Source organism: Homo sapiens, chromosome 17 (assembly GCF_000001405.40).
Source record: "Homo sapiens chromosome 17, GRCh38.p14 Primary Assembly".
In the NCBI taxonomy this organism is placed as follows: domain Eukaryota; kingdom Metazoa; phylum Chordata; class Mammalia; order Primates; family Hominidae; genus Homo; species Homo sapiens.
This window is the reverse complement of record NC_000017.11, coordinates 54,893,362-54,905,791: the sequence shown is the minus strand read 5'-3', so window position 1 is coordinate 54,905,791 and position 12,430 is coordinate 54,893,362. Positions and strand designations below refer to the sequence as shown.

Below are 12,430 nucleotides of genomic sequence, written 5' to 3'. Positions count from 1 at the left end.
CTCCTTCCATGAAATTAAATGCTATTAAATGCTATTATAAACAACTAAACTTTCTTTATTCTGCAATTCTCATAAATGAAGAGTTTTAAGTCATACTGTACACAACTCCTAGCTAACCTATTAGTTTTCTCAGAATACTTGCTTCTTATTTTTTACCCAGGATTAAAAATGTAACTATAGCTTGAGAAATCCTCGAGTCTTAATTATAAAATTAAAGTACTTACTGACAAGGTAAGTTGGATTTCTTTATGATTGTAGTTTTTGGAAATCCTTTTCTTCAAAGCTTTCACTGCATCTTTTGGCCTATAGCAATAAATACACTGAAATCACCAATTTAGGCATTGCTGAAAACAAGCAGTCTCTCTGAAAAGCAACATGCATTTGGAGAGAGGAATGGCTAAGGAGCAGAAAACTAAGGCCTTGGTTCTACTGTGGGACCCTATGCGAATGACTTAACTTCTTGAACCTAAATTTCTTCACGCATACAGGCAGACAATACCACCTAACCCCTTATGAGAATCAAATAAAATATTTTCGTACAAGACTATTACCTAGAAAGTACTACCCATGAAATGCACTCATTCCTGTATCCCTCTATCAATGCACAGAACCAACTTATAGGAAATGCAACTTCCGAAACAATGAATGTTACCATTTTTATTAAAACTATTAGTATTTCCTGAGCACCCTATAGACAAGGGGATGTAACAGGAATTACAACAAACTAGGTCAGCTGCCAATACGCCACAATTTTATGTTACAAAGAAAGGACTGTTTATAAGGGTCCAAATTTACTTTAAGATTCTCTTTTTGTATTATCAATGAATTGGTATTATCAATGAAAATGTTCCCAGAGGAACTAAACATGGTAAATAGGATTATAGGAAAAAAACCATACACACTTAAAAGTACTAACCATAAGCGCTTTCCATTTATTTATAATCAATAATTAAGTTTGATGTTTTCTTTATCAACATAAGCTAGACTAAATCTCTTTTACTGCCAGTTATCACTTTAATATGCCCAGGAAAATTACCAGAATTGTGTTCCTTAGAATAACTTGTAATTGACTACAAGCAAACCAGTTTGCTCTTCTTAATGACTTTTTTCTTATAACTTCGATTCTCGAAAGTTTAAGAAGTTTAAGAACAAACGATAGCACATGCTATAAGAATACAGCTTAAACATGGGTGAGTTGACATTCAGAAGGAAAAAAATTGTCCTGGGACAGGGAGGAAAAAAGACTGCTAGATTGTTTCCTGGTTACTAGAAATAATTGCTCAGAAATAGGTCACCACCGGGAGTCAACCAGCTTCTTGATAATATTTGATGGTTTCATCAAATACTGGCACTGGGAGCTGGAGATATTCCTAAAGAAGGACACAATCTCTCTTTTTCAATTTTTTTTTTTTTTTTTTTTTTGAGATAGAGTCTTGCTTTGTTACCCAGGCTGGAGTGCAGTGGCATGATCTCTGCTCACTGCAAGCTCCACCTCCCAGGCTCACGCCATTCTCCTGCCTCAGCCTCCCAAGTAGCTGGTACTACAGGCACCCGCCACCATGCCTGGCTAATTTTTTTTGTATTTTTTAGTAGAGATGGGGTTTCAACGTGTTAGCCAGGATGGTCTCCATCTCCCGACCTCATGATCCGCCCGCCTCGGCCTCCCAAAGTGCTGGGATTACAGGCGTGAGCCACTGCGCCCGGCCTTTTTCAATCTTTTAGAAGGAAGGAATTTGAGCTTCACAGTGACAAAATTTGAAACTATTAAAGAAACTGCCAAGAGGAGAAAAATTATAGTGGATTTATGGATACTCCACATGTTGAAGCAAGCAGCTGCCCCAATATTTCAACCTGACAAGTCTTCAAAAGATAGAGGGTGCCTAATGAATGATGAAAACACTCTTTCAACAACAAAACCGAAATATTTGCAAGAGAAAACGTGCTGTAGTTCTGATGCTTCTTGTCAGAGGCAAATACATGGAAACCATGCTGTACTCACCCATCCTGGGTAGTGTTAATTATGTCACAGATGTGCATGAACTGGCCCCAATCTTCAGTCTGAACTCCAGCAAATGTAGCCTTTTCTGCCAAGAAAAAGCTGTTGAGTCTGAGCTACAACAGAATAAAAAATGTCTGGTATTCCTGAAATAATCTGCCTAGGCTGCACCAGCAAGTGTCATTAAGTTTACATTGCCAAAGGGCAAAGTGATTTTTTTTGGAACAGTTCTCAGTAATTCAGGAATCAATCAGAACCCAAGTTCAGAGTGCTGCTGCAGCAACAGTAATGAGTGACCTATTAATAAAGACCTCAAGCACAACAGCTGGCCACAGGCCCAGGCCAGGCCAGCTAAATCTCCGCCTGCCTGGCTTTCAGAGAAGGGAACTAGGGCTTAGTGAGCAGCTACCTAGAAGGTGAACTGCATAGTGCTAAGTATTTTATCATACGCAATTTCATTTAACCCACTGTGAGAGATGATGAGATAGAAGTTCAGAGAGGTTAGGAAATTACCAAAGTTATACAGTCAGTATGAAGTAGAATTGGCATTCAAATCTAGGTTGTTTGGTCCCACTGTTTGTTTTTAAAAATAATTTATTCTCTGGGGGGACAGGAGGAAAGAACTTTTAAAGGAGAGAAGTAATCCGTTGTTCTTAGGAGCCAAAACATTGGCACAACTCCAAATAAAAGTAATACGTTTATTGTCCTATCATCTTAATCTCACGATTCCTTCTAATTTTACCAATTATTATAACTTCAACCAATACTTGCAAAGACACTGCTTACCTCAACTATGTAAAAACTTCCATTGCATACACTTTTACTTTCAGCCTTAATTATTTCAAACTGGCGCTGGATAACTATCCGAACTAATAATAATAAGCATCTAAACTAACCACAGCTGCACCAGGCTGACCAGAATGCTTCTGCACTTGGAACCCTATGATTAGATAATCAGGCATCTTTCCCTCTCCAGACAGCCGCTTTAAGAATACAAGATGTTATCTGGAAAGGGTAATGGAACACTCAGTATGAATGCGCTAACATCTTCCTAAGAGAAGGACAAGATCCCTAAGCATGAAAACACCGGGTTCTGGGGGAAATGGAGAAAAAAACAAAAAAGATAGAGAAGGGGAAGAATAAGGACTTGCTTGGGGGAACCCCAAAGTTTAGCTTGCTTTCAATCCAGGAAAAGAACCACTTGAGGCGGGGCCCGGTGGCTCCCGCCTGTAATCCCAATCACTTTGGGAGGCCGAGGTGGGTAGATCACCTGAGGTCAGGAGGTCGAGACCAGCCTGGCCAGCATGGTGAAACTCCATCTCTACTAAAAATACAAAAATTAGCCTGGCGTGGTGGCATGTGCCTGTAGTCCCAGCTACTCGGGAGGCTGAGGAAGGAGAAGTGCTTGAACCCGGTAGGCGGAGGTTGCAGTGTGCCGAGAGCTACTGCACTCCAGCCTGGGTGTCACTCCCCGTCTCAAAACAAAAACAAAAACAAAAACAAAACAACAACAACAAAAAACTTGAATCTGGCACCGAATGGACAAAGCTTACCTCCCTAGAAAAGAAAACTCCTATTCACCCTTCAAAAGCCACGCAGAATTCATTTCTCCCTTCTCCTAAGTTTTGTGTGTTTTGCATTTTCTTGCATTGCAAAGGTGCCACACAAAACTGTGCCCGTCTTCTCTACAAGAAAGTGAGTTCCCTCAGGTTTGAGACCACGTCTCACCTTGGCCTCACCAGTGCCTGATCCAGGTCCAGGCACATAGCTGACAGTTAGTCCATGTTTACAGAATTAAAAAATTAAGCAGAAGAACTGCTGAAGTTTCGTTTGCCTATGAAGACACAGTCTGAATCCATTTCTGCTTGGGGTTCATTCTAATATCCAAAAAAGCACAGCCATTAAGGGAAAGCATCTCCTCAATGGTAGCTACTCTGACCATCTTATAAGGATGTGTAAACTAAGGTTCTGTTTAAGTGGTGTGTTCGGTGTCACAGCAGTTAGTAGAGCTGTGATCTAAATTTTCCAAATCTGGGCCTCTTTACTACAACTACTAGGTTCTCACGATTTCATCACCCCACTAAGTTCCTGACATCATCACACTTTGCCTGGCATTAATATGCACTCGTGCCACACCCAATTCCCAAGGGAGGAATCAGGGAAAAGAAGGAGCAGTGAGCTGGTGCTGGTAGGAGTCCAATCACTGGCTTCTACATACATCATGCAAGGTACATCCGGAGGAGAGAGAAATCATTTAGGTGGATGCTGGTGTAGTCCCTAGTGGCCTGCGAGAGACCTCCGTGGCCCCAGATGGCTCCTATGTTCCCCTCCTCTTCACTCCAATGCCAAGCATTTTCATTCTCTTTGTTTACCCAGAAAAGTAATCCAGGTTGTATAAGCTTGGCACTAGAGAAAACTGGTTTGGGGAGACCTGCCCCTCACAGTAAGGCCACATCACTTAGTCTCCCAGAGCCTCCTCTTCTGATCTGTAAAACGGGCATAACAATACCGTGCCCTGGAGAATGTGCCTTTAGGAATAACTTCCCCTACCGAGAAGTTTCTGGTGTCTCCTCGTGGAGGCCCAAACACTCCATGCCTGACTCCCGCGGTTCACCTGTTTGGTTCCACTCCCCAGGCGGCATCGAAAGGAAGGTACATTTTTGAGGACTGAGGTTCTACAGTGAGTTGGCCAAGAAGGAAACGACGAAAGGGGGCCGGGTGGAATGCGGGTGCCTTGGGAAAGTTGCGGGGGGAGGGGAATAATTTTTTCAAGTTGGACTAACTCCGTCCTCTGCAGGCCGAGAATGGATCAAGCAGGAAAGGATCCCACGGTCCCCTGCCTGCCTGGGCGTCTCTCCCCGCGCCTCCTTACCTATGAGGTGGCCCACGGAGGTCGCGTAGGGATCCCGGTGACTCTTGCCAAACGCCATGGTAGCGCCAGAGGGCCGGGCCCAGGAAATCCGCCTCCACCGCTCTCCGGCTCCCGACTCCACCCGCTCGGTACCCTTGGCTCCTCCTCTTCGCCCGAGCGCTTCCCGGGCTCTGGCAGAGGCGGTGCGTTCTGCGCTGCCGCTGCGGGGCGCGGGCACCGAGCGTGAGGAGCTGGGCGCGGGGCAGGGACGCGAGGGCGGGGCTTCGGGACGCCCAGCGCACCTGCAGCGCGCCCTGCGGGACCCGCGAGGAGGCTGCGCTGCCGGCTGCAGGTGGTACAGGCGGGTAGTGGCGGGTGTATGGAGCCTGCGAGAGTGGCGCGGCCGCCCGCTCGGATCCCAGGTGGGCTTTTCGCCCCGTGCAGGAGGAGCAGGCAGCCCAGAATCTCCAGCCTGGGAATTAGAGACCCAGGCTTTGATCCTGCCGCTTGCTGGGCACCTTGTCATTCTTCTCTGCGCCTCTTTGGCTGCCCTGGGTAGACCAAAGATAATAGGGGGTTAATAACACAAACCTCAGAATTATGAGAATTAAGGGAAGGACGTAACCGATTATGTCGGTGTCTGGTACCCACAAAATAAATAGTTAGCCACTGAATATACTGAATAACTAGAAATATTTACCCTCGACCTGCCTTTGTCCTAGAGATCCGGGAGGGGAGGTGTGCGCCCTGCCCTTTAAAGTTGTGGTCATGTCTAGGAGGAAGGATTGGCTTCGAATTTAGGGCTTCCCAGGAGCAGGCCCTCTTTGTCTCTCTACTATTTCCTCGAGGGACCACAGGGCGCCGCCTCGCAAGCTCTTGTTTTCTAACCCCACCTTCTGGGAGCCGTGTTTTCCAGCCTGATTCTAAAAACGGGAGAGGGGCTTTCCGTTTCTTCTGGCAAGGAGTATGCTTGGCTTTAGGCCTGCTTTGTAATGTAGGTTGGAATCTGAGAAGCCCAACACCTTTCCAGCTGCCCCTTCAGAACCAGAATTTATTTCCTATTCCTTTGCATTCAATTAACATCTGATTGGCGATGTTAACAATCTCCAGCCAGCAGGAGCCTGCCAGAGAGTGAGGTGTCCCCAGGCGATGTCAGATAGCCATAGATGAGCTCCTGGTGCTTGTAGATCCTGTTTCCTGTAGTCTAACTGCCACCCATTTCAAGTCTGTTTTTTAGCCCTGGAGATGGTGACTAGGGAGACGAAGGGGACCTGTTTTGACTTATGTCCGTGGTCTTGTGAATTTTAATATAGAGGTCAAAACCAATTGCCATGCACTCCAGGAGGCTAACATTTAATTATCTGTAACTCAATTATTTATAATTTTTCTTGACCAAAGTGAGCCAAAACCTGGGATTCTAAAATCTAGAATGAAATATTCTTGTTGTGATGATATGTCTCATAATGGGATTTGTCCCACGTGTAACTAATATTCTCCACCTGCCTATTCAGGGCGAGTAGCTATTTCAGATGTTGCCGTTTATCAACTTCCTTACTCATCACTATAGCCTCTGCTGACACTGTTGAAAACCTCTTTTGTGACATCACCAACCTAATCTGTATTCCATGCCTCTAGCAAAATATTTTGCCTTTTCTGCAACCTAGAATCAACCTACAATCTCTGAAAAAGAAAACCAATTTTAGCTTAGGCCAATGTTGGTGTCAGTGGCCTTCTATCAGTTAATGAGAACGAGAAAGGAACCGAGCATCCAGAGAGATAGATTTTTAACATACTTCTATGTGGGAGGTTTTTCTTTTCGTCTTCTTCTTCTTCTTTTTTTTTTTTTGTTTTTTTCTCCTATGTCTGATTTCCTTACATGACAGGACTGAGGCACCGAGAAAGAGGAGAAACAGTAGCAAGGAGTGTCTTCTGGACTTGATGCTTGGGTGAACAGAACCAAGGTTGATGAGTGCTACCTGTGTTCTATCTCAGCAATGCCTGGCAGAAGTTTTTCTCTCTCCCTGTGCCCTCCAGGGTGTTGTGGTGGTTGTTGCAGCCTTCTCTTCCTGTACTCTGTTCCGTTCTGCATGATCCCTCTTCTCTCCAGGCATGAAAATCAACGTGGTTAATGTTAGTAAAGTCTAGCAGCGGGGACAATAGAATTCACAGCTAAGTTGAGGTCAGAGAAGGAGCAGAATCCCACAGGGGTAAAATGACACCAGGAGTAAAATCTTACCACAATTTCAATTCCAAGAACACTTAGTCAACATTTATTTATGTAAAATGTGCTAAGTGTCTGCAACTAGAAATCTATCTTAATCTTCACAATCCTGAGAGGTGGGTAGTATTAACCTCATTTTTACAAATATATAATCTGAGATTCAGAAAGATCAAGTTTATAAATGGCTTCACTAAAGTTTGACTCATGGCTGCCTGGTTCCAAAGCCTATATTATTGTCACTAGGTGAATCTGTTTATTGAGCCTGATGTCTTGCTTTTTTAAAGGATCTGCTTGATTCAGTGCAAGACCTCTTGAAGAATACAGGAATAGGGGAAGTCATATACTTTGCTGGCACAAGGTCCTGCTTTTTTTCTGTTCTTGTTCAATAGCGAATATTTTTTGTGCTAGAACTATATGCCAGATATGTTCTAAACATATTACATGCGTTATCTCATTTAATCACATAATAACGTTATGAGACCAGTACGGTTATTACTTTATTTTTCATGTTAGAAAAACCAAAGTAATGGCTGGGCGCGGTGGCTCACACCTGTAATCCTAGCACTTTGGGAGGCCGAGGCAGGCATATCACCTGACGTCAGGAGTTCAAGACCAGCCTGGCCAACATGGTGAAACCCTGTCTTTACTAAAAATACAAAAATTAGCTGGGCATGGTGGCAGGTGACTGTAATTCCAGCTACACGGGAGGCTGAGGCAGGAGAATCGCTTGAACCCGAGAGGCGGAGACTGCAGTGAGACGAGGTCACGCCACTGCTCTCCAGCCTGGGCAACAGAGTGACTCCATCTCAAGAAAAAAAGGGGGGGGAAATAAGTCAATAATTTTTCACATAGTCACATTGCTAGGGAAGGACTGTCTAATTCCAGAACCTGTGACTTGAATGGCTGTGCTATGTCATCCCTCTTGGATAGAGCTCTAGATGGTAGGTGGTGCCCTTCACTAGTTCACATTTTGAAAGAAGTGGGTTCTAGGGGGCAGTGTCTGTAGAAAGAAGTGACCGAACTTGGCAAGTACACCTGTATAGAAAACAAAGATAACCCACCATCATGATTCATGCAGCTAAGAGATTTTTGCCTTCTCATTTGATTGTTTTTTTGTGTGTTGTGTGTTTGTGTTTTTTTTTTTGTTTTTTTTGTTTTTTTTTTTTTGAGATGGGGTTTCACTCTTCTTGCCCAGGCTGGATGCAATGGCACAATCTCAGCTCACCACAACCTTTGCCTCCAGGTTCAAGCGATTCTCCTGCCTCAGCCTCCCTAGTAGCTGGGATTACAGGCATGTGCCACCACGTTTGGCTAATTTTGTATTTTTAGTAGAGACGGTGTTTCTCCATGTTGGTCAGTTTGGTCTCGAACTCCTGACCTCACGTGATCCACCCGCCTCAGCCTCCCAAAGTGCTGGGATTACAGGTGTGAGCCACCACGCCGGGCTTGTTCCTTGTTTTAATATTTAAATGTGCTCCCTATAACCCTCCCCATAGTGTATCCACTAGCCTTCTCATTATCCTTCTCTTTTTCCGTGGGTCTAGTTCCAAACACTACCTACTCTCTCCCCCAACTCTCCCACTATAAAAACTAACTTTCATAGCTATGTGATCTTCAGCTTTAATAGTCATCCTCATCCTCTTTGACCCTCTGCACCACCCATGTGATGGCCCTTCCTTGTTAGCCAGCCTTATCTTTCAGGACACTTCTCTATCCTACTTTTTTTTTTTTCTCTCTCTCTCTCTCTGACTGCTAATTCTCAATGATCTTCATTTGATTTTATTTTCTTTCCATTCTGCTAGACCTAAGTAAGTCTTCCCACACTTCCGAGGTTCGCCTTTTTCTCTTTCTGCATTTCTCTCATCCCACCTTCTCCTTGTCCCTTCTTTATGAAGTCTTTTCTGACAACTCCCAGAAGAATTTAACTCTTCTTTTCTGTCCCAGGTACAGATTTCTGTCTTATAGTCCACAACATATTATATCACTGATTTGTTTAGAAATCTGTTCCCTGCCTCCTAGATATAGGCCCCACAAAGAAAAAGGACCCATTTGTAGGACTTGGTGTCCTGACACTCAATAGACCTTAAGGGATTTTTTTTTTTTTTTCTGAGATGGCGTTTCACTTTATCACCCAGGCTGGAGTGCAGTAGTGCAATCTCAGCTCACTGCAACCTCTGCCTCCCAGGTTCAAGCGATTCTCCTGCCTCAGCCTCCCAAGTACCTGGGATTACAGGCACACGCCACCATGCCTGGCTAATTTTTGTCTTTTTATTAGAGACAGGGTTTCACCATGTTGGCCAGGCTGGTCTCAAACTCCTGACCTCAAGTGATCCACCCACCTTGGCCCCCCAAAGTGCTGGGATTACAGGCATGAGCCACCATGCCCAGCCTAAGGGATGTTTATTGAATATATTAATGAATGACTCCTCAAAATCTTAAGTTGCTGTGTCCTTCCTGAGGTCCAGCCCTTAATTCCCTCCTGGATGCCTTGTTGAAACTTGAACTCAGTATGTCTAGAATTATACTCATCCTCTTTCTCCATTATCTCAATATCCTACCTTACTTACTTGTTTTGACCATAGCAGTCATTCTCAACCATATGCATAGAAATTTCTGGGTTGCTGTAAAGACTAATGATATCTGGGTCCCACCTCAGAGATTCTGATTTAACTAGTCTTGGATGCCTCAAGGTCATCAAGAATTTTAAAGGTCCCTGGATGGGCTAAAGGTACCATAAATTCCCAAACAGAAAATCTTGAAGTTATCCTCAACTTTCATTTCAGTCAGTTCTGGATTTCTCTATGTTCTTCTTTACCTCTCTCCTTGCTTTTTCTTCTCTATGGACACTGTCCAGTCCAGAAATTGTCGATGTCAAAAGCCTTAATACTGTTTAGGGATGAAACTAGATTGAAGTTCACGCTTTCCTGAACACAATCAAATCCCTGTGCATTTAAAGACATATTATTTCTCCTTAAAATGGACCTTCTTTTGCACAATTTCTTGCCCATTGTTTTTGAAAACCACATGTACATAATATATGTTCACTGTATTTCCAGTTATATATATATATAGAGAGAGAGAGAGAGACAGACAGACAGACAGACAGAGATGAGTTCTTACTATGTTACCCAGTCTGGTCTTGAACTCCTGAGCTCAAGTGATCCTCCAACCTCACAGCCTCCCAAAATGTTGGGATTATAGGCCTGAGCCACATCCAGCCTATTTCCAGTTATTTCTTAATATACTATATCTTTGCAACTCCTGATTGTGGAAATTAAAGAACAGCCTTTCTTTTCCAGCTCTTAGGATAACCCTCCATCAGCTTCACACGAGAGGGTTTCTCCCCACCCCAACCCCAGGGCTGTTTTGTTCTGTCTTTATGGGTTTCAGGCTGAACTCAGAGACCCAAGATGAGAGAGGACAAGGCACAGGAAGAGTGAAGAGGGGAACAGTTGTTGACTTCTTACTGTGCCAAGCACTGTACAAAGTGCTTTGGTATCTCCAATAAACTTCAGAATTATTTTTTAAAAAATAATTACTCTCATTTCATTAACTAACTTACCTAAAGTCACTCTGAATATGGAGGTGAATTTGGGTTTTTCTCATTTCCAAGCTTAAGCCTTTTTCCATTGCATCACACTGCCAGCCCCTGCCATCCCCACCAGCAAGGATCTGTGGCTGATCTTGGAGAGTATCTGAAGCAACAAGCCCAGTGCTCCTTATGCATCAATGCCAACCAGAAGTTTGTTGATTGATTTTAAACCACAATTATTCTCCAGACATTAATCTTTAAATCACAAAAACAGGTTCATTGGTTTCTCTCATCTGTACAATTAAAAAGCTCCATTGAGAGAGGGAACTAAAGGGTATCTGTTGGTTAAATTTGTCATCTCAGTGGATTCCTGTGAGGCTTAAAACCAAAGTTTTATCTGGAAAATAAACCAAAGGAATCAATATTTTCAAAATCCAAGCCAACCAGCTTTCTGTGAGTTTTATAATATCATCGGTGCATACAACTCATTTGGGGTTTGTCATTTAATTCCTGTGTGTTCCTTTGGGATGCTAGCTTTAGTCTGCAAATCAGATTAACTGGGCTCAAATCAGCTGTCAGGTGGTAAAAAATAATTTCGAATTCATAGGGTTGCTTTGAAAAATAACAAGATATTATATTTATAGCACTTGGAATGATTCTGGGCATATAATAAAGCTCAATAAATATTAACTAGTTATTGTGATCATTTATCCTTCCAATCTACCAGGTGGCCTAAAATTTTCACTATTAGAAAATGGCCTTTTGAAGTTTGGCAGTGTCTCTCTAAAAGCCACTACTTAAAGATGCTGTTTGGGAAAAGAAGGTCCTATCGGTACCTACTAGCGTCAGTATAATTACACATTTGGCTTCTGCTAGCATGTTATGAATAATGTGCAACTTGGTGATCGGTTCAATTGAAAAAGGTCTCATAGGAGTGGGGCTCTAAAAAGAGACCATGAGCTGGGATTTTGCGGCAGGGGTTGTGAAAGGCTAGCTGCTTTGAGGTTTGTCTTGCAGGAAAGCCTTGAAGGAAGGGGTGTACAGCAAGGGAAACACATTTAATTTCAATGTCAAATTTGGTTCTAATCCCAGGGCTACCATTTACTAATTGATCTTTGACAGACAAATCACTATTTCAGAACCTTAGTTTCTTTATCTGCAACAATGGAACTAATTGAACATATCTCAAAAAGTAGGTCTCAAGATTAAATGAGTTGACATTTGAATGCTCTTAATAAATGCCTGGCATGTCCTTGGTGTTCAATAACTGTTGGAGCCCAAAGCTTAAAGTAGGCTTCTGTTTCCTGTTTTCCATCATATCATCTTGGTTATGTCCTTTATAACACTGTTTATAATCTGAAATTGTTTTGTGCAATTATTTGTTTACTTGCCTTGCAAGACTTAATATTGCTCCCTTGCTCCACAAAATATACCCTTGTGATTCTATATTGCGCTGCAGCCACAGCCCTCTAGGCCAACTGTTTCCCTCAGGCCCTAAAGCAGATCTCCCCAAAAAGAGCAGATTTGGTCATCCATTCGTCCTATAACCTGTTTTAGTTTTAGTCCAGCTATAATACCATTTTTAAAAGACATCATCTTGCTGATATTAAGAACAGTCCTCCCACCTCACCTTCTTTTCTCTTCTAATACCATTTGTCACTGTTGACCTCTGCCTGCTCCTTGAATGCATTTCTTCTCCTACCTACTATGGTGTGATGTGCAGCTCCCCTGTGCTTCTCCTGATTCTACCTACAGTGCTGATTTAAAGCCTCCTTGCCCTCCCCACCTCTCTTTATCCTCTTATTCTGGGTTATTGTCTTCATAGCATTT

General features: G+C 43.1%; 1 protein-coding gene and 1 long non-coding RNA gene across 10 annotated transcripts in view, besides 3 other annotated features; one reads left to right on the top strand and one right to left on the bottom strand.

The window, feature by feature from the left end:
- Positions 1 to 4,940, bottom strand: part of TOM1L1 (target of myb1 like 1 membrane trafficking protein) — a 61,105-nt gene extending 56,165 nt beyond the window's left edge. For 6 of the 9 annotated variants that reach the window (XR_243612.4, NM_001321175.2, NM_005486.3 and 3 more), the window contains exons 1-3: positions 4,869 to 4,940; positions 2,000 to 2,084; positions 225 to 303 (exon numbers count right to left, since the gene is read on the bottom strand). Coding sequence is in view for 5 of the 9 variants with exons in the window: in NM_005486.3 (NP_005477.2) it covers positions 225 to 303; positions 2,000 to 2,084; positions 4,869 to 4,926 (222 nt within the window). In the remaining 4 variants the exon portion in view is untranslated. The remainder of the gene's footprint in view (positions 1 to 224; positions 304 to 1,999; positions 2,085 to 4,868) is intronic. The other 3 variants (NM_001321176.2, XM_047435069.1, NM_001321174.2) reach the window with 2 other exon arrangements.
- Positions 4,626 to 4,715: an enhancer, noted in NCBI's record as "active region_12406". NCBI's record gives its function as "activates an Ori minimal core promoter by ATAC-STARR-seq in GM12878 lymphoblastoid cells {active_cell/tissue: GM12878}" and the evidence as "EXISTENCE:reporter gene assay evidence [ECO:0000049][PMID:35858748]".
- Positions 4,736 to 4,845: an enhancer, noted in NCBI's record as "active region_12405". NCBI's record gives its function as "activates an Ori minimal core promoter by ATAC-STARR-seq in GM12878 lymphoblastoid cells {active_cell/tissue: GM12878}" and the evidence as "EXISTENCE:reporter gene assay evidence [ECO:0000049][PMID:35858748]".
- Positions 4,926 to 5,265: a silencer, noted in NCBI's record as "silent region_8729". NCBI's record gives its function as "represses an Ori minimal core promoter by ATAC-STARR-seq in GM12878 lymphoblastoid cells {active_cell/tissue: GM12878}" and the evidence as "EXISTENCE:reporter gene assay evidence [ECO:0000049][PMID:35858748]".
- On the top strand, positions 5,055 to 11,290 carry LOC124904033 (uncharacterized). The gene is made up of 2 exons (XR_007065854.1): positions 5,055 to 7,184; positions 10,459 to 11,290. It is a non-coding gene; the product is annotated as an uncharacterized LOC124904033 (long non-coding RNA).
- The last annotated feature ends 1,140 nt before the right edge of the window (positions 11,291 to 12,430 follow it).